General features: G+C 30.0%; 2 long non-coding RNA genes across 4 annotated transcripts in view, besides 1 other annotated feature; one reads left to right on the top strand and one right to left on the bottom strand.

The window, feature by feature from the left end:
• Positions 1-22,993, top strand: part of LOC105375148 (uncharacterized) — a 147,709-nt gene that overhangs the window by 123,148 nt on the left and 1,568 nt on the right. For all 3 annotated transcript variants that reach the window (NR_187872.1, NR_187873.1, NR_187874.1), the window contains one exon: positions 15,604-15,657. This is a non-coding gene — a long non-coding RNA (uncharacterized LOC105375148). The remainder of the gene's footprint in view (positions 1-15,603; positions 15,658-22,993) is intronic.
• Positions 12,570-22,993, bottom strand: part of LOC105375147 (uncharacterized) — a 172,035-nt gene continuing 161,611 nt past the window's right edge. The window contains exons 3-4 of the long non-coding RNA XR_927026.2: positions 14,999-15,111; positions 12,570-12,909 (exon numbers count right to left, since the gene is read on the bottom strand). This is a non-coding gene — a long non-coding RNA (uncharacterized LOC105375147). The remainder of the gene's footprint in view (positions 12,910-14,998; positions 15,112-22,993) is intronic.
• Positions 22,395-22,595: a silencer, noted in NCBI's record as "peak6373 fragment used in MPRA reporter construct". NCBI's record gives its function as "represses an SCP1 promoter by STARR-seq MPRAs in K562 erythroleukemia cells {active_cell/tissue: K562}" and the evidence as "EXISTENCE:reporter gene assay evidence [ECO:0000049][PMID:32103011]".

Genomic DNA, 22,993 nt, shown 5'->3' on the forward strand with positions numbered 1-22,993 from the left:
TAGGCAGTTTCATAATGGTATCCAGAGCTAAAGTACTTTATATGTTATGTCATCTTTTATTTCATGTTGAAATCTCCTCAGGGTATGAAATACAAAATGACAGTGATTCAAAGTTGGACAATAATGTGCATTTCTAGGTCCCGTGTTTTTGTGCTGCTAGGTGTGAGTTCTTAAAAATATTTACTATAAATTATACTGCTCTATGCTTATAGTTAATTAAGAATTTCTGATTTTTTATTTGTAATATTTTTTACTCACAGATATTTTGCTAATAGATGCATTTAATCCTTCACTATAAGTATCATTTCTGCAGCATTGCAACAAAATTCAGCCTTTGAGTATTTTAAAATATATTTTAAAAACTATTTTTATATAAAGTTAATACAAAATTATTTATATCTCTCTCCTTAATAGTAGAAAATAACTTTAAGTGATTAAAACAAAGGATAACTTTTTTTTCTAAGACATCCTCTTGAAGTTAAAGATGGCTTGTGTATCCTCTGTTCTTGAACTAATGAATGATGTTTCCCAAGAGGCCTGAGCCAAACTGTGACCAGTCCAGCACCTTTGACTCCATTTAGAATGGAAGAATTGAAGATTCTTAATAAGTTTGTTGTGCACTTAAGAAAATATAGTAAATAAATATAAAAGAAAGGATCTTAAGAAAAGGCGATGGATTTTCATAGGGCCATTTTAAGTTAGTCTAAGTGGCTTTGTCAACAGAGAAATCTGAGGAGTGTTGCTACTAAAAGTAAAAAACATTAACACGTTGCAGAACAGTTAAATGTTAATGCTTTTCCTTGGCTAATTCTCTAAACTAGTTCTAAAAAGTAATTAGCGGTTTTCTATTATATACCAAAAAACCCCACATTTTCAAACTTACACCACTGCTTTGTATTTAGCACAATATGTGTGGGCAACATTGGGATAAGAAGTAAAAGCAAACCATATCGTTGCATTCAGATGGTTACAAATAATGCACAAAAATGAACACGACTTCCCCATTTATAGATTTTGATGTTAGATTCAGATGGAAAAAGTTGTGAAGAAAACTTCTGACAAATGTTCATGCTTATCCAGAGAAGTTTACTATATACCAGCTATGCTTTTGTAAAAGTAATCTCTTTCTAATTTGATCTTATCACTTCTATGATACAAGTTATCTAATAACCACATGCAACTGATTATAAAACCACAATTTAAAGAACTACAAACCACTGCTCAATGAAATAAAAGAGGATAAAAACAAATGGAAGAACATTCCAAGCTCATGGATAGGAAGAATCAATATTGTGAAAATGGCCATACTGCCCAAGGTAATTGATAGATTCAATGACATTCCCATCAAGCTACCAATGACTTTCTTCACAGAATTGGAAAAAACTACTTTAAAGTTCATATGGAACCAAAAAAGGGCCCACATTGCCAAGACAATCCTAAGCAAAAAGAACAAAGCTGGAGGCATCATGCTACCTGAGTTCAAACAATACAACAAGGCTAGAGTAACCAAAACAGCATGGTACTGGTACCAAAACAGAGATATAGACCAATGGAACAGAACATAACCCTCAGAAATAATACCACACATCTACAACCATCTGATCTTTGACAAACCTGACAAAAACAAGAAATGGGGAAAGGATTCCCTATTTAATAAATGGTGCTGGGAAAACTGGCTAGCCATGTGTAGAAAGCTGAAACTGGATCGCTTCCTTACACCTTATACAAAAATTAATTAAAGACTTAAATGTTAGACCTAAAACCATAAAAACCCTAGAAGAAAAGCTAGACAATACCATTCAGGACATAGGCATGGGCAAGGACTTCATGTCTAAAACACCAAAAGCAATGGCAACAAAAGCCAAAATTGACAAATGGGATCTAATTTTAAACTAAAGAGCTTCTGCACAGCAAAAGAAACTACCATCAGAGTGAACAGGCAACTTACAAAATGGGAGAAAATTTTCGCAACTTACCCATCTGACAAAGGGCTAATATCCAGAATCTACAAGGAACTCAAACAAATTTACAAGAAAAAAACAAACAACCCCATCATCATCATCAACAAGCGGGCGAAGGATATGAACAGGCACTTCTCAAAAGAAGACATTTATGCGGCCAACAGACACGTGAAAAAATGCTCATCATCACTGACCATCAGAGAAATGCAAATCAAAACCACAATGAGATACCATCTCACACCAGTTAGAATGGCGATCATTAAAAGGTCAGGAAACAACAGGTGCTGGAGAGGTTGTGGAGAAATAGGAACACTTTTACACTGTTGGTGGGACTGTAAATTAGTTCAACCATTGTGGAAGACAGTGTGGTGATTCCTCAAGGATCTAGAACTAGAAATACCATTTGACCCAGCCATCCCATTACTGGGTATATACCCAAAAGACTATAAATCATGTTGCTATAAAGGCACATGCACACGTATGTTTATTGTAGCACTATTCACAATAGCAAAGACTTGGAACCAAACCAGATGTCCATCAATGATAGAGTGGATTAAGAAAATGTGGCACAATATACACCATGGAATACTATGCAGCCATAAAAAAGGATGAGTTCATGTCCTTTGTAGGGACATGGATGAAGCTGGAAACCATCATTCTCAGCAAACTATCACAAGGACAGAAAACCAAACACTGCCTGTTCTCACTCATAGGTGGGAATTGAACAATGAGAACACCTGGACACAGGAAGGGGAACGTCACACACTGGGGCCTGTCATGGGGTGGGGGGAGGGCGGAGGGATAGCATTAGGAGATATACCTAATGTAAATGACGAGTTAATGGGTGCAGCAACCAACATGGCACATGTATACATATGTAACAAACCTGCACGTTGTGCACATGTACCCTAAAACTTAAAGTATAATAAAAAAAAGAAAAATATAGCTCAAAAACAAAACAAAACAGAAGTTTGGATTAAGGTTACACTGCAGAAAGTGGCAGAGTCCAAATTCAAACTCCTGCTGAGTTATTCTACTCTCATCTTGGCTGGCTCTCTTAGTGTTAGCAGTATAGAAAGAAAAATAGGCCTATTTCAGCAATGCATGCAAGACAACATCTCATAAGGGTTCAAGGGATGAACTGACTATCTCCTATAGGACTCTTTCTGCCAAATATAGGTTTCTGGCTGCTGCTCTTCTCCTAATTCCATCCTTCCTCGCCTTCTCTGTCAGAGTAATTGTTATAACTATTTATTTGTCATAGTATTATTTCATTACTCTTTTAAGGTTCATGGGATCTGCAGTGATGTTCTTTCTTCATTTCTGATATTAATAATTTGTGTTCTCCTTTTTTCATGGCTTTGTGAAGAGATTTATTAATTTTATCAATTTTTCAAATAACTAGCTTTTAATTTTGTTGATTTTTCTCTATTGCTTTCCTGTTTTCAATTTCATTGATGGAAATCTTTTTTATTATTTCCTTTCTTCTGCTTACTTTGGATTTCATTTACTCTTCTGCTAGTCTCCTAAAGGTGAAATTGTAGATTCCTGATTTAGATCTTTCTTCTTTTCTAATCTACTTATTTAATGCTATAAATGTTCCTCTAAGCACTGGTTTGGCTACATCCCACAAATTTTGAAAAGTTGTGTTTTCATTTTTATTAAGTTCAAAATATTTTAAATTTTCTTTTGAGATTTCTTGTTTAACTCATTTATTTACAGGTATATATTGTATAATTTTTAGATATTTTGGGATTTTCCAGTTGTCTTTCTGGTATTGATTTCTAATTCAATCTCATTGTGGTCTGAAAACCAATATTGTTTGATTTCTATTCTTTTAAATTATTAAGATGTGTCTTATTACCCAAATGCGGTCTGTTTAGGTGAATGTTCCAAGTGAGCCTGGGAAGAATGCATATTCTGCTGTTACTGAATGAAGTAGATTATAGATGTTCATTATATCCAGATGATTGATGGTGTTATTAAGTTCAACTATGTCCTTAATTTTCTGCCTGCTGGATCTGTCCCTTTCTGATAGAAGGATGTTGAAGTCTCCAACTATGATACTGAATTAATCTATTTCTCCATGCAGTTCTATCATTTAAATAGTTTGATGCTCTATTGTCAGATGTATACACATGAAAAATGTTATTTTTCATGAAAAATTAATCATTTTATCATTGTATAATGCCCCTCTTTATCCCTAATAACTTTCCTCACTTTGAAATCTGCTCTGTCAGAAATCAACATAGCTATCCCACTTTCTTTTGATTAGTGTTAGTATGGTGTGTTTTTCTCCTCCATCTGTTTACTTTCAATTTATAAGTGTCATTATATGTGTCTTTATACTTAAAGTGGGTTTCTTATAGACAATGTATGTTTGTGTTTTAGTTTTTGATCCATTCTGAAAAACCTCGGTCTTTTAATTGGTGCATTTAGATTGTTAATATTCTAAATGACTATGGATATAGTTGGATTAATATTTACTGTATTTGCTACTTTAAAAGAAGTTTTCTTGTCCTTGTTCTTTGTCTCCATTTTTCATTCTACCCTTTTTCTGCCTATGTGGTGTTAATTAAGCATTTATATGGTTACATTTTCTCTCCTTTCTCAGCAGATAAGTTATAGTTCTTTTTTTACATTTTAATTAGTAGCCCGAGTTTGCAATATACATGTACAAGTAACCTAAGTACACTTTTGAATAATACTATACCACTTAATGTGAATGAGAGTACTTTATAATAACAAAATAATCATAATTCCTCCCTCCTATTTCTTGTATCATTGCTGTCATTCATTTTACTTATACATAAGCATACATAACAATGAGTAAAAAACAAGTTTTTATTTTACCTGTACTTATCCCCTCTCTAATGTTCTTCCTTTCTTTATTGCATCCACGTTTCTGACCTATATTATTTTTCTTCTCTCTAAAGAACTTATGTTAACATTTCTTGCATGATGTGTCTACTGGTACCAAATTCCTTCATTTTTGTTTGTGTGATAAAGTCTCTTTTTCTCCTTGCCTTTTGCGGGATAATTTTGCAGGGTGCAGAATTCTAGATTAGTGGGGAATTTTTGTGCTCTGAACACTTTAAATATTTTACATCACTCTATTCTTGTTTGAATGGCTTCTGAGAAGTGAGATATACTTTTCTTTGCTCTTCTATAAATAAGAAGTCCCCCAAACCATGGCTGAATTGGGAATTAATTCATAAGTACGTACTATGTGATCTCCTAAGTAAATTTTTCCCAGTCACTAAGTCTTTGTGTTTACTACGGAGTTAATTTTATTATTAAATGTTTTTGGTTGTTATTTTTCCCCAATATTTCTAATTGATTTTCTTATATATCTTACTTTTCTAGTTTCACTTTGTCTATTGTGCAGTCTTTTGTAAAGGGAAGATAGCCCTTTGCTTATCTCATTAAGCAATTTTAACATATATTTTGAAGTCTTTATCACATATTTCCTCAAAGCTATTTTTCTGGAATTTATTCATTTTCTGGTTATTGATTTTACTGACTTTGTGAGCAATTTTTTAACTCATGGATCTCAAAATTTTAACAAAGAGACCTGTTTAGAGGATTGTTTCCACACTTCTAAATTCTTTGCTTTTACTCCTCTTCATCTAACATTTTGTGATGCCCGTTGTCTGCTCCCAAGACTCTCCAGTCAGAAACAGGCTTTAAAGTTGTATTTTTGGGGTCCTGTGACATGGTTAAATCAAGAATATCAAAGATCCAGGTAAAATACTCCTGGATTGCTTGGTATCATTTCAGGTTGAATGGCTTTATCTGTGTCTTCCTGCTTTTATAAGTCTACCTTGATGATGATGGTTGGAAATAGTATTTTCGATGATTTGCTCCTTTTTATTGTTTATTTTAATTATTATCTATTCACACGTAAGGAGATCCATTCTCAGCATCTGACTCCAAAAAGTGAATCAGAGACCTATTGTCAAATGTCAAATCCCTTTGAACTCTTACCTTGAATGAATAAAACACTGGTATCTATTTCCTTTTTTAAGCTAAGAATGCAGTGATTTCATGATTCAGTCTCACTCACAATTTTGTAGTTTTATTTTATTTCTTATGTTCTGAACCTATTTATTTTTTCTTGTTCCTATTTTTATTTTACCTATCACTGGAGCTGAGGGGGTGAATCAAATGTATTCTATGGAGTCATCGTGTTGGAAGTCTGAAATTCATGTTTATAGTATAAGCCTCTTTATTTCTTATCTTTTATTTGTTATTGGGGAGGTACTGTTAATCACTGGTTTTAAATCACATTTTGTCTCATTATATCAAGGATACAACTGTAAAAGTTAGAAAATAGTTTTTTCGTTATTGTAAACATACCTAAAAGGTAGGGGTTTTTTTTGCTGTGGAATTTTAAAAGTTACTTCTGATAGATAGCTTTTGGCCTGAATTTTCTATATATTTTCTTGTCATTGCAATGACTAGTATAAGAGATAATGTGGTACTAAAATATACTAATCTCAAAAGAGTATGTGGCTTACATTAAACCCTTACAAAAATGAAATATGTATTTAATAAGACTTTCATTGAGCAAATAGGAACATTTTATATTAGTAATGTTCCCTACAGAATGCTAGGTAATGTAGGGATATTATGTTAATATCTGGCTACATTTATATGAAAACTTTATTTGTATAATTAACATATTTTAATTAGTTGTGAACTTCCCTTTATAACAGTCTTCCTAAAATGATTAATATATTTTGCTTTGAGAAATGACACATTAAATGTGCATGCACATACCTGAAGAGTTTAATGGATTTATGATTATTAAAACCAATGCATCTATAAAAATTGCTTGACCATTGGGTTTAATGTAAAAGGTCAGAGTGTTCTAGGTTTAAAAATTCTTATTTTTAAGGCTCACTAGAGAAGGTGTAAAAATCTACCTTCCAGGAGAGAGAATTGTAGTTCAGATGTTTACCATCCTTGGCTTTTTAACCTCTGAAATTTTAAAGGACAGTTGTGCTACTTAATGCACTTTTATATTTCTTGATGGGAAAGTGCATTTTCCTCCTACTAAAACCAAGAATTCCTACAAAATTCCTCTTTGAGCTCAATGCAAGAGTGAAACATACACCTTTATAAAAGAATGTGTGAGGCAAAAGACTATTTGATATAAAGAATTGTTTCTTGTGTGGATAAAAGATTTTTGTAAAGTGTATATAGGTACCACGATACTATGCTGAATTCTTTTTCTTCTATTTATCTTTCTCTTTTGGTGAGGGGAGCATACACGTAATATTTTGATACATGCATAGAATGTGTAATGATTGAGTCAGCATATTTAAGGTATTTAAGGTACTCAAGTAATTATAATTTCAATGTGTCGGGAACATTTCAAGCCCTCCCTTCTACCTATTTTGAAATATACAACACATTGTTTTTAACTCTCGTCACTCTACTCTGCTATCAAACATTAAAACTTATTCCTTTTATCCAACAGTATGCTTGTGCCCATTAACCAATAGCTCTTCATCACACACACCCACACACACACATACATTCTGCAGCCTCTGTTAACTATCATTCTGCTCTCTACGTTCATGAAATCAACTTTCTTAGCTCCCACATATGAGTAAAAACATGCAATATTCGTCTTTCTGTACCTGGCTTATTTCACTTAACATCATGGGCTCTAGTTCCATACATGTTGCTACAAATGACAGAATTTCATTCTTCTTTATGACCAAGTAGTATTCCAATGGGTATATAAACCATATAGTCTTTATTCATTTATCTGTTGATGGACACTTAGGTTGATGCCATATTTTGGCTATTGTGAATACTGCTGCAATAAACTAGAGTGAAAATATCATTTTGACATACTGAGTTCCTCTACTTTGAATAAATATCTAGTAGCAGAAGTGCTAGACCATATGATAGTTCAATTTTTTGTGTTTTGAGAAACTTCCATGCTGTTTTTCATAATGTCTATACTAATTTACATTTCCAACAACAGTGTTTAAGATTTTTTTTTCTCTGCATCTTCACCAGCATTGTTTTTTTTTTTTTTTTTTTTTTTGGTTGTTTGTGTTTAAACTTTTTAAATAATAGCCATGCTAACTGGAATAAGATGATATTTCATTGTGGTTTTAATTTGCATTTCTCTGATGATTAGCAATGTGGAACTTTCTTTCATATAGCGGTTGGCAATCGGTCTTTTGAGAAATATCGAATTCATCCCTTTGGACCACTTTTTAATGGATTTGCTTTTTTGCTGTTGAGTTGCTTGTATTCTTTGTATATTCTGGATGTTAGTTCCTTGTTGGATAAATAGTTTCCAAATATTTTCTCATATTCAACAGATTGTGTCTTTATTCTGTTAATGTTTCCTTTGTTGTACAGAAGAGTTTTAGTTTAATATAGTCCAACTTTTGTTTTAGTTGGCTGTGCTTTTGAGTTCTTAGCCATAAAATATTTACCTAGACCGATGTCCTGGTGTTTTTTCCCTATGTTTTCTTTTAGGAATTTTATAGTTTCAGGTCTTACATTTATATCTTTAGTTGATTTTGAGTTAATTTCTATATATTGTGAGAGATATGGGATCTAATTTTATTCTTGTGCTTATGAATATGCAGTTTTTCCAATAGCATTCATTTTAGAAGGTGTCTTTTTCCAATCTATGTTCTTGGTGCATTTGTTGAAAATCAGTTGATTTGGAATACATGGGTTTATTTCTGGGTTCACTATTTTGTTCAATTGATCTATATGTCTGTTTTTATACTAATACCATGCTATTTTGGTTACAATATCTTTGTAATATATTTTGCAGTCAGGTAGGGTAAAGTGCTTTGGCTATTAAGGCTCTTTTTAAATTCCATACAAATTTTAGAATTTTTTTTCTATTTCAGTGAAAATGACATAGATATTTTGATAGGGATTTCATTGAATCTGTAGATTGATTTGGATTGTGTGGTCATGTGAATGATATTAAATCTTCTGATCCATGGGCATGAGATGTCTTTCCATTTCTTTCTGTTCTCTTTAATTTCTTTCATCAGCGTTTTGCATTTTTCCTTTTAGAGGTCTTTCACCTCCTTGGTTAAATTTGTTCCACAATATTTTAATTTTTTGTAGCTATTATAAATGGGAATGCCTTTTTTTCTTTCTCATTTATTTCATTATTGGTGTATTAGTCAGTACTCATGCTGCTATAAAGAACTGCCTGAGACTGGGTAATTTATAAAGAAAAGAGGTTTAATTGACTCACAGTTCTGCCCAGCTGGGGAGGTTTCAAAATACTTACAATCATGGTGGAAGGGGAAGCAAACATGTCCTTCTTCACGTGACAGCAGGAGAGAAAAGAATGTGAAGGGGGAAGCTCCCTTATAAAGCCATCAAATCTTGTGAGAACTTACTATCACGGGAATAGCATGAGGAAAACCTCCCCCATTATTTAATTACCTCTCACCAGGTCCCTCCCACAACATATGGGGATTATGAGAACTACAATTCAAGGTAAGATTTGGGTGAGGACACAGCCAAATCATATTAATTGGCTTATAGAAAACTGATTTTTGTATGTTGATTTTGTATCCTGCAATGACACTGAATTTATTTATCAAATGTAAGAGGTTTTCAGTGGAGTCTTTAAGTTTTTCTAAATATATGATCATGTCATCTTCAAAGAGGGACAATTTGAATTCCTCCTTTCCTTTTTGAATTTTTTTTTCATTTACTTTCTCTTTTTTTCCTCTTCTCTGATTATCATGGCAGGAACTTTCAGCACTATTTTGAATAGGAATGGTGACAAAAGTGGATATCTTTTTCTTGTTCTAGTTCTTAAAGGAAAGGCTTTCAGCTTTTCCCCATTTATTTTGATGTTAGCTGTGATTGTGTCATATATGGCCTTTATGATGTTGAGGAAAGTCCCTTCTATGCCAAGTTTGTGGAGATTTTTTATCATTAAAGGCTCTTAAACTTTATCAAACTTTTTTTCTGCATCTATTGAGATAATCATATAATTTTTGTCCTTCATTCTGTTGTGATATATTGTATTTATTGATTTGCACAAGTTGAACTATGTTTGCATCCCACTTCATCATGGTGTCTTATCTTTTTGATGTGCTGTTGGATTCAGTTTGCTGGTATTTTGTTAAAAATATTTGTGTCTATGTTTATCAGGATATTGGCCGTTAGGTTCCCTTTTTGTTCTTGTGTCTTTGTCTGGTTTTGATATTAGGATAATTCTGGCTTTGTAGCATACATTAGGAATAATTTCCTCCTGTTAAAATTTTTGGAAAAGTTGTAGGATAATTGCTGTTAGTTCTTCTTCATATGTTTGGTGGAATTCAGCAGTGATGCCAGCTAGTCCTGGCCTTTTCTTTGTTGGAAGACATTTTATTACTGATTAAATCTTTCTAGTTGTTGTTGGTCAGTTCAGATTTTCTATTTATTTCTGATTCAGTCTTGGCAAGTTGTATTTGTATAGAAACTTACTTATTTTCTCTAGGTTTTCCAGTTGAAATTTATTTTATCATCGATGTTTTTCCTGCCATTCTTTAATAAGAAAGACAGGCATTAATAACTGTTTAGCACCAAATATATGTCAGGACACTTCTAAATATGTTGTATCTTTTTAAATTTTACCTTCAGAAGAATCCTCAAATATTGGTTGCTATCCCCATATTTAGGTGAGGATAGGGAAGTATAGCCAAAGTTTAATCTGGGTCTCTTCATCCCTACATTGGAAAGAGAACTGGTCTCTTCCCGTTCTATGGTGGAGATGAACTTTCCAGCATAAAAATAAATGCATGTATCTGGCTATTGACATAAATTATTAATTATCCCACCTTGTATCAAAAGTATTTCTCATGTTTAATAAGTAAGGAAAATTAAATTATATAATACATTTACTTTAGAAATAAATTTTAAATCAAACATTGTAGTGGGGCTTGGAATGAGAATTTCCACAGCCAACGCTACAGTCAAAGAACAAAAAGAGCAAGATTTCATTTCTTTATTAGTGCAAAAGCACTTACATATTGGTATGAAGTAGTTTAACCCCGTAAGAGGAGAGATGGTATAGAAGACACTGCACAAAATGTAACAGACTGCAGAAATGAGTACACCTATAAGAGAAAGCTGTGCTGCTGATTTTATTTTCTGTATTTGACAGAAATGCATCAATCAACAAACTTGGATTTGTTGTGCTGATTGTCTGGAAGTATAGTTTCCTTACTGCTGAGTATAGGTTAATTTTTGTTGCTTCTTTCTTTTACTGTATGCTACGTCCAAATATATCTATGATTTCTGCAGGGCAAGAGTGATAGGAGTGGGCTCAATATTTGGTTAAGTCTTAACAGTGGACAGGAAGCATGCTTAAGGTCACCGTTCTTCAGTGTTGAAGATTCAGAGACCATGATCTTGTTCTCTTTTCTCATCTGTCCTCTTGCCTTATCATCTCTTTTTGATCCTTCCTTCAACTCTTCCTTCCCTTTAGTCTCTCTTCTATTCACTTTCTATTGTATAACTTTCTATTCTATTCTATGTTTGAGAGGCAAAAAGAATAATAATTCTGGAGCCTTCATTATTTTTGAAAATATTCTTTGATTTCCTCAGACAATGTATTCCACAAATAAATTTTCTCCCCTTGAAAGTTCTTTATAGAGACCTGACACCAATACAATTTCTTTAATTTGCTCTATGCCTTAAATTTTAAGTGTTGTACAAAGTTGAGGGGCTTAAGATAATTATCAAACTAATATAATAAGGACGAAGAACATGTTAAAAATAAATTAACTACATATAGTATCATAAACCTTAAAAAACCTTAAAAAAGTCTCCACCTATTAATTTAGAATAAGTAAAAACTGATAATAGAGTGACATGGATAATGTCTAAGCCCATGTACTATTAGTATCATAATTTATTGGTGACAAGTAAAAATATATTTTATGTAAAATTTTTATCAAGTTTTACCTTGCTAAAACTATAGTTTATTAAAAGTAAAATAATTTATACTGTATGTCCACACTTAGTAAACTTCAAGTCCAATGGACTGGAGAAATCATAACCTTGATTACTACATCAAAAATGACTTTAATGAAATAAATTACATGGCTTCTTTGATGTTACCTAGTTACTTCTTGGTATCAATTTAGGTATAAATATGCTAATATATTTTAGTTATATATAGGAAATAAGCAAATATGCTGAGCATTTATCTTTCTTTCTTTCAACTTCTATTGTTCAAGAGACTCAATAAAGAGAATATGATGCAGTAAATTATAAATGTCATTGGAAAAACATGAGAGCCATGCATATAAAGGTGTTTAAAATGAGCAAAAGTCTCTAGAGATTAGAAAGAGTATAATGTAGGATAATATGTTAAAGAAAATGCATTCCATTATTTTCTTTCTTATCATAGATATTTTATAAAATTATACAGAGAAGAAAATACGTGATATATGTTTTAATTAAAATATTACATTGACAATTTATTAATAGAGGTAATTCTAGATGGTATTTGGTTATGAATTTGTTTCCTTTAAAAAGGCTCTCTGGTCTACAAAATATAGGAACATCATTTTTGGTAAAATACAGTGAGTATGCTTCATATCCTTATCTGTGAACCACTCTTGTTTCTATCTATTTACTACGACTATTTCCAGAATTTATGGTTTTACATTTATCACCGCCTTCACAATGGAACTGCTACTTTTATAAAGACCTATATATCGCTGTAGCTGTAACTAAGTTTTCATTGTTGTTTTTAGTTGTTGTCTCTCTTGCTTAAAGACTCTGGCTGTTTATCTCAGAGCACGTACAGAAATTGAAATGTACAAAAGTGGAAGTTATTAAATAGAGACCACACAAGATACCCACTCTAATTGAATGAAGGCCTTTTCATGACATCAATTCAGCTGCAGTATCTTCAGTTCTTACAGTGGGGAAGCCAGAATCTCTAGACATGGGAAGAAGGGCTTATGAGTTGTGTTCTGGTAGGTGTAAGAAATGGTAAGTAAGTCTCATCCCCAAGGACATGGTTAAAAAAAAATTTGAGTGGCATTTTTGGAATGGGACCTAGGTTTCTGCATCTTAAAAAAGCTCCAAAGACCTAAAAATACTTAAGAACAAACATTGAGTAACAAGTGTACGGTGAACTAGTCTGAAACCGCCTATGAAGTACATGGTGTTTTCTTAGATTCTTGGTTTATTTAGTGTTACTGTGAAAGTCACTGGAGACTGAGGCATTCTCCTGAACTCCCAGCCTCTCCAGCTACCTTTTATTCTTGCAACTAAATTCATAAAATTAATATTCAAGCTCAGTGTTGACTGAATCAGAAACAACTGTAGATCAAACTCGCACAGCTTTAAGGTTGAAAATGTTTTTTGACACACACACGCAAGGTAATAAGAATCACAAATGACAGGTAATTCAAGAAGCAGCTACAGATACAAAACAAAGCAAAACTTCACATAATCATTTATTGTAGATCTCTTAAGCCATACATTCAATATTTCACATTTTTGTTACTTTGCAGTAGCATTGTTAAAATATAAGTATATAGTCACTGGTAATAAATTTAAAATGTATACATTTAAAGTGTAGGGACCAATGGAAACATTTCCGTTTGTCCTCTGAAATTTTGCTGTAAAATCAACTCACAAAAGACTGATTGATTGGAGCAAAGGCATACAAATGTATCAACATGCATATGGGGAAGAACCACGGAGTGATTACATAACCCCAACCTTCAAGTGTGGTTCAGAAGCATATATGCCATACTGAGATTACAGAATGTATGAGGCTTGGCTCTGACAAAACAGGTTATAGTGGCAAAACAGGTTACAGGAGGGAAAAAGAGGAGACATGGCTAGCAAAGATGGTTTTGTTACGTAGGTGGAAACCCACAGGTAGCAACCCTCAAAAGATGTAGTAAATGTTTCTTTGAGATCTTGAAAGCTGTCTTTTATTTGTTATTGGGGAGACACTGTTAATCACTGGTTTTAAATCCACATTTTATCTCATTATATCAAGGATACAACTTTAAAAATTAGAAAATAGTTTTTTCATCATTGTAAACATACCTGAAAGGTAGGAATTTTGCTGTGGAAGTTTAAAAATTACTTTTGATAGATAGCTTTTGGCCTGAATTTTCTATTTATTTTCTTGTCATTGCAATGACTAGTATAAGAGATAATGTGGTACTAAAATATGCTAATCTCAGAAGAGTATGTGGCTTACATTAAACCCTTACAGAAATTAATGTTTGTTAGGGTTCCACAAGGCAAGGCCTCAGAGAAACCCGGCCACATCGATGCACATTTTCTACAGATGCAAATCTCCCCCACAAAAGACAGCTTTGCAGGGCTCATTCTGTTTACAAGCCCTCTTAATAGCGATGTCAAAATATGTTAAATAAGTATATTTTGGGGTGAAATATTTTGATTTCTTTCAAAAGCATAACTCTGAACAAATGCAAGAATAAACAGGAACAGAACCACAGTATGATAACATACCTAATCAAGGAAGGCACTTTCTTATAGCTTGGAATGCATTACTTTTTCTCTGTATTTGCACAATTCTATTATGTTTTGTGTCCTGCCACTTTAGCCATAGAATGGACATCAATCTTCATTGAAATATCATAAGACCCCTGCATGAGCAAATCTGATTGAACTTTCTGTTTGCTAAGTTATTGCATTTCTTACATTCATTTAGAAATGTAAGTAATAATGAATGCTTTTAAACAAAGAATTTTAACATTTCATACTTTTACACTTTGTGGGACTATAGACTGCAATTTAGAATTAATAGAAAAGTCAAGGATATTTGTGAAGAATTTAAGTATGAGAAGGAATGCTTGCGCCAGAAAAAAAGTCCAAGAAAGACTTTCTATCATGGAAAACCAGGAGATAACTCTAAAGAAAAACGATGCTTACAAACTCAAGAGCTCAAAATGATATGAAATTCCTACTCTCTAGCCCCTCTTACTACACATGCAACTATGGACAAGCAATTTAACCACTGTGAACTTTAGTTTTCTTACCTGTAAACAATGAAGGTGATGATCATGCCTATTTCATGGAGTAGTTCTTGGAGTTAAATAAAATAATCTGTGTGAAAATTCTAGCATAATGTCTCCTCCATAGAAAGGACTCTCTGCAATCACATTTCATTTTTTTGAAAAAAAAAAAAAAAAAAAAAAAAAAGCATTGAGTATGTAGAAGCCAGGAATGCTGCTAAACATCTACAATGCACAAGACAGCATCTACGAAACCACCCCTGCCACAATATAGAAGTTTCTGGCCTAAAATGTCAATACCATCACTGTTTAGAAATTCTGGTTTAATCTATACACTTTAGCAGAGTATAATTTTCTCTGCAGAAAAATATTTATAATTTTATTATGTAATTTGGAAACTACAAATAGAAATTCTTCTGTGATTTGTAGAAAACTTTTATTAACTAATAATATCTAAAGAAATAAAAAATAATGATGTTTGTATCTCTGTTTAAGCCTTGAGTAATCAACAAACCCCTCAGAAATGCACAAAACTTCAATTTTTTTAGTCTCTTAAATAGACAATTAGGGTCTTAAAATTGTTGATATAAATGGCGATTTATTGTTTTACATCTCAATTTCTTTCTTAGACTGTTACTCACTTCAAAAGAAACGGACTGCTACAGTGGTACTTACGTCACCAGGTAAAAACTTAGATAAAATAATTATAAAACTAACCTTTAGTAACAAATAGAATCCAATAATAACACTACTATCCAAAAGAAAAGTATTTAATGGTCACAATTTCAGGTCTGCATTTCAAACTGTTTTTCCTGAATCTTTTATTCTTCCTTTTCTGTGACAGTCTTACTAATGCATCAGCACAAAATAATTAACTGTTTTGCAATCCAAGGAACACATTATGATCAATTGGGGAAATATAAAACTACCCACCGTGAGATCCCACCCACTAACAATGAAATCTGAATAACTTTGTGAAATGTCTAATATCAGAGTTTTTTTTAGGTCCCCCCCCAGGTGATTCTCAAATGTTCTGTGATTGAGAACCTACAGGGCAAGTAGGTCTTATTATCTGCTTTATGCAAAGGATCAGTAAATTAGTATGGAAACAGTAGTTTCATTGGCTAATGCCCATTCTTACAGTAATCAAAGCAAAAATTGCACCAAAGTTAAACAAGCAGGGAAGATTTTATTGAAGGCTATGCAATAGGGGAGAGAGACAAAAATGCAGTCAAAACTCCACTAAACAAAAAGCAGAACAGATTGTAAGGGCTGGGGCAGGAAGATCTTAGGCCTTACCCAACAGAGAGTAAGCTGTCTCTTACCTCCATGACAGAATGTAATTTCACACTTTGGAACAAAGGGTCCACCTTAGATTCCTACTCTCTCATAGAGACTGTAAGATAGAGGTGGTATCTCCTTTAGCATTTACATTTTAAAGTTTCAAAGAAATGGCTACACTAGTAGGTCCTTGAGAATGACACTGTTGGGTCGTAAAACTGTCAAGAAGCTTTTAAAACGATTTATACCTGAAAAGGGCATAGAAAGCATTTACAAGTTTTATGAAGTAAATAGTCTAAGGAAAAGGAGGTCAGACTCTTGAATCAGAAAGAAGGCTGCCTAAAGTTTAGCCATGCTGAGGGTAATATTAAGGCCTCCTTAGACAGAGATAATGAGGTGTTTTGTTTTTTTGTTTTGTTTTCTCTTAGAAAGGGTTCTCTCAAATTTTGCTTCACCTTATATATACCTGTAAGTTTTATAAAAATACTGATATCTGGTCCGTGCTTGGGTGCTTTACCCTATTGTTGATTTCATAGACTTTTGACTTCTTAAAGTTAAAAAAAGTACATATTTTATATAGTTATAATATACTACATATATAGTATATATTATATATTGTATATATGTATATATACTATATATGGAATATATGTATGTATATGGAACATGTATTATGTAATATGTATATATGTATATGTAAGATGTATATGTATATAATGTATATATTGTATATATAGTGTATATAATATATACTATATATACACTAAATATATTTATACTATACACATATATAAATATATATGATATATATTTCTATATAACATATATAATATATATTTCTATATAATATATATTTATATTATATATTATATATTTCTATATAATATATATTATATATTTCTATATAATATATATTATATATTTCTATATAATATATATTATATATTTCTGTAATATATATAATTATATATTGTAAAATATATAGATTATACATATCTATAAGTTATATATTTCTATATTATATATATTTATATCTATATATTATATCTATGTTATATATACTTCTATATATTTCCATATATAATATATATAGAAATATATAATATATATTTTATTTAGAAATATAAAATATATGATATTTCTATATAATATATACTATATATTTCTATATAATATATACTATATATGATATTTCTATATAATATATACTATATATATTTCTATATAATATATACTATATATGATAGTTCTATATAATATGTACAATATATATGATAGTTCCATATAATATATACACTATATATGATAGTTGTATATAATATATCAAATATATAAATTTCTATATAATACATAAAATATATATATTTCTATATAATGTATAAAATATATATATTTCTATATAATGTATATAATATATATTACATATAAAATATATAAAATATAAAATTAATATATTTATATATTATATATACAATATATTTTTATATTTCTACATATACATATAATATATAAATATAATAAGACATATATAATAAAATATATATAAAAAACTATATATATTTATATTTTATATATCCTATGTTTAGTCAATATAAATGTATATTTATATTTTAAATATAAATATATACAATATATATTTTATATATAAATATGTAAAATCGTTTTATATTTTATATAAATATATCCAATCTTTCTATATATTTATATATAAAATATATAAAAAGTTATATATATTGTATATATTTCTATATAAAATATATAATCTTTTTATATATTTTATATAAAATATATATAAATATATACATGTTTTATGTATATAAATATGTACAATCTTTTTATATATTTCATATATAAATATATACAATTTACATATTTTATATATAAATATATACATATATACATGTATACATATATACTATATATACATATATGTACAGTATATATATACTACATATGTATACACTATACATTTATACATATATGTATACATGTATACGCTATATATAGTGTATACATATACTATATATCGTGTATCCATATGTACTCCATATGTATATACTATACATCTGTAGTGCATATGTACATATACATATATACATACTTATGTACATATACATAAATACATGTATCTATACTATATACATACATGTATCTATACTATATACATATATATGTACATCTATGTATATGTATAGTACATGGATGTATACATAGTATATACATACATATATCCATATGTATTTATATGTGTATATGAACATGTATCGTACATACGTACATGTATGTATATAGTATATATGCATATACTCTATACATGTATATAGTATATATGCATATACTCTATACATGTATATAGTATATATGTAAACTATATATGTATATATAGTATAGATACATGTATATATGTATACATATATAGTAGATACATATACATATATACATACGTACATGCATGTATATCTGCTATATATGTATGTATATATACATATATAGTACACATACATGTACGTATGTACTATATATACATACATGTACACATACATATGCACATACATATAAATACATATGGATATCTGGATATATGTATGGACATATGTATACATACATATACATATATCCATATATATGTATGCACATATGTACACATACATACATATACATATATCCATATATATGTATATATACTATGTATATAGTACATGTATGTAGTATACTCATACATACATGTGCGTATATATGTATGTATGTAGTATATATACATGTATGTATATGTATGTACATGTATATGTACATATGCACTGTATATGTATATTATATACATATATAGTACATGCCTATACTATATATACTATATGTAGTATAGGCATATACTATATATAGTGTATATATATGTATATGTAGCATAGTTATATACTATATAGTATAGGTATATACATATAGTATAGGTATATACATGTATATATATAGTGTATATACACATGTATATATAGTGTATATACACATGTATATATAGTGTATATACACATGTATATATAGTGTATATACACATGTATATATAGTGTATATATACATGTATATATAGTGTATATATACATGCATATTTTATACATATATGTATATACACACAATAGATACATATATGTATATACACACAATAGATACATATATACACACAATATATACATATATTGCGTATATACAATATATACATATATATTGTATATATATACACTATATATACTGTAAATATACATATATACGTATACATAGATACACATGTATATATGTGTATATATACATATATACATATATACATATATGTATATATAGTATATGTATACTATATGCATACTATATAGTATGTATACTATATGCATACTATATAGTATGTATACTATATGCATACTATATAGTATGTATACTATATGCATACTATATAGTATATGTACATAGTATATATAGTATATGTACATATACTATACATAGTGTATACATATATGTATATATTATATATTGTATATATACAATATATACATATATGTTGTGTATATATACAATATATACATATATAGTATATATGTATATATTGTATATATGTATACATATATACATATACATCTCATATAAATATATACATATATGCATGTATATGTATATATACATGCATATATGTATATATACATGCATATATGTATACATATGTATATATAGTATATATACATACGCTATGTATATAGTGCATACATATGTAGTATATATGTATACATATATGTATATATTTGCACATATTTATATATGTATATATTTGTATATAAAATGTATATCAATATTGTATATATTTATATATAAAATATGTAAATTATATATTTATATAGAAAATATATAAAAAGATTTTACATATTTATATACATAAAACATGTATATATTTATATACATTTATAGATAAATATATAAAAAGATTATACATTTTATTTATAAATATATACAATATATACAACTTTTTATATATTTCATATATATACAAAGATTGTATATATTTGTATTTGAAATATAAATATATATATAGACTAAATATATGATATATAAAATATATAAATTTATAATTATATAATATATAAATATGTATATTTTATTATATATATTTTATTTATTATATATGTCTTATTACATTTATATATTATATATGTATATGTAGAAATATAAAAATGTATATATATGAATATATTAATTTTTTTTATATTTTATATATATTTATATACTCTACAATACATATATAGCATATATACATGTACGTATGTATATACATGTACATGCATATGTACTATATATGTATACATATATACATGTATATATACTGTATATACATATATACATATCTATATACATATATGGTATATATGTGTATATATACATGTCACTCCCCATGGGACTTGAAGGCCAAGAGAACTGATGAGAACATGAAGCTTGTGCTGACCGCCACACTATTGGTAATAAAGTCCTGTGTGTATGGTCCTGGAATCTTGTCTTTCACTACATCCATAAAACTATAGCAAGCTAACTTACTCGCTTGCAGGTAGGTAGCATAAAAAATCTCAGACCCTTCACGGGTCATGACATTGCATAAAAGTAGAGAACCTAAGATTTTATCAGAAGCCGTGATACTCAATCAAGATTTAAAGATAACACATTTATAAATAGGTTACAAGTTAATTATCTTTGTCAATAATTTTAACTTATGGACTTGATATAAAATACTAATTATTTTTCTTACTTTTATACATTGAAATATAAAGACATTTTAGAAAATTTTAATACTTCTTTATGGGCTCAGCTTCATTATTAGATTCTGCATTGGTACACTTAAAGCTATTAGTAAAATGCAACCTGATATTTTGACACTGAAATATTAATTTGAAAATATTCAGGTATTTAACGAACTGTTTGTCATATTGAATTCATTTTATAATTTTTATTAGTAATTATTGAACTGACCTAGATGACCTTGGTTATTCCTCTCAACTTGACTAAAGTTTAGAAAAGCCTTTTCCTGGCAATAGGCCCCTGACTTCCCTTTTCTTACTGCATTTACGTTAGATAATTTGCAGTTGTAAGTTCTTTCTCTGCCTCTTTGAGATGCAAATCTTCTAGTTTCTTGTCAATTTTACAAACCAGAGATTTCTTTTCACCTGAGAGCCATCCTTTTATAATAAAATTATCAAAAAAGATAGAGCCCCTATTCCCTTCTCTGTGACAGGATAGGAGCCTAACTAACTTCAACAAGTGCTGATTAGCAAACACAGAGGACCAACCCTAATCACAATGACCAACCCTTCTCCAATGCTCTACAGTACTTTTCCACTAGCTCACGCAGGTGCTTAAGACCTTCCCACCTTTTGTTTCAAGAGAGTCGAGTTTAATTTCTTTATCGGTTGTAATAGTCTCGAATAAAGTCTTCCTTGTCTAACTTATCCAGTGTCATTTTTCTTTTACAAAACCCAATAAAAATTATTAATATATTTTATAATAAAATTATTAAAAATTATATATAATTGTAAAGCAATCTTTTTAAAAGGACATTATTTTTTAATTACAGAAAAGTAATGTTAACAGGGAAAAATAATTTTCAGTTCTGTAATCTATCTTGAGTCTTTAAAAATGTGAGTTGCCACACAAAAATCAACATACAAAGAAAAACAATATCAAAAATAAATTACATATGAAGAAAAAACTGGTTTAATTTGTTCAAACTTGCAAAGGAGGATTTTGGTTTAGTTTTTCCTGCAGCCCCATTAATAAAACCAAGGAAATCATAGAGAGAGAATTTAAAGTCTGATTAAAAGATAGGAGGCAAAGAAAAGGAATAATTAGGTAATTCTCAGGACACAATTTTCCAGTGGGGTGCCCAAGGGATCAGCACTACACACTGCAATTCAATATATCTCTAAAACGTCTGTTACTAGGAGAGACATTTATGCTTTGGTTAGTTGGGACTTTGTAAGATATCTGGAAAGATTTCAAAAAACAAAATAATTGGTTTCAGGGTAGCAAATGAAATTCAACCCAAGAGTAAAGTATGTCATATTAAAACGGTCAGCTTAAGCTATTTATACTCACTTGTAAGTTCTAAATTAGTTGTAACCTCTCAGAAAATTGACCTGAGTCATCTCAGGAATTCTCAATCAAGACATCTCAACGTGAAATAGAGCTCATTTATATTAACAGTCTAAGTATAAGAGAGTTCATCTTTCACCATGACAGTCATGGCCAAACAACGAGGGACCAGCTGAGTCTGATAGATTAGAGCTGTTGGCAGTCTCCATTCCATTGCTAACTTGTCGTCTAAATTTGGGAAGCCACTCTAATACTCCTAAAACTCTGCAAAGTAAATCTGACTGCCAAAACATTTCCTAATTAATTAGGAAAATAATAATAGCACTAATGATTGGGCAATTAAGATCCCCCAAGACAATTATTTAATATTATTGAAGTCTGAGACCTTCAGCCTTAACAGACAAAAAAAAAAAACCATTCAGCCTCTAATCTTGCTTCTTTCTTATCACTTGAATGCCTGTTGATTGAAACAAACTGATTTATATTACAATGGAAAAGGAATGATATAAAAAATTTAAAAATCTTAAAATTATCAAAGAGGGGTGATCAGGAGTGTTCTGATAAAAAATGTAAAGTTACATTGCTGTTTCAAGGTAAGGAAAGCGCCAGAATGTTATGCCTATTTGA

Source organism: Homo sapiens, chromosome 7 (genome assembly GCF_000001405.40).
Source record: "Homo sapiens chromosome 7, GRCh38.p14 Primary Assembly".
Taxonomy (NCBI): Eukaryota; Metazoa; Chordata; class Mammalia; order Primates; family Hominidae; genus Homo; species Homo sapiens.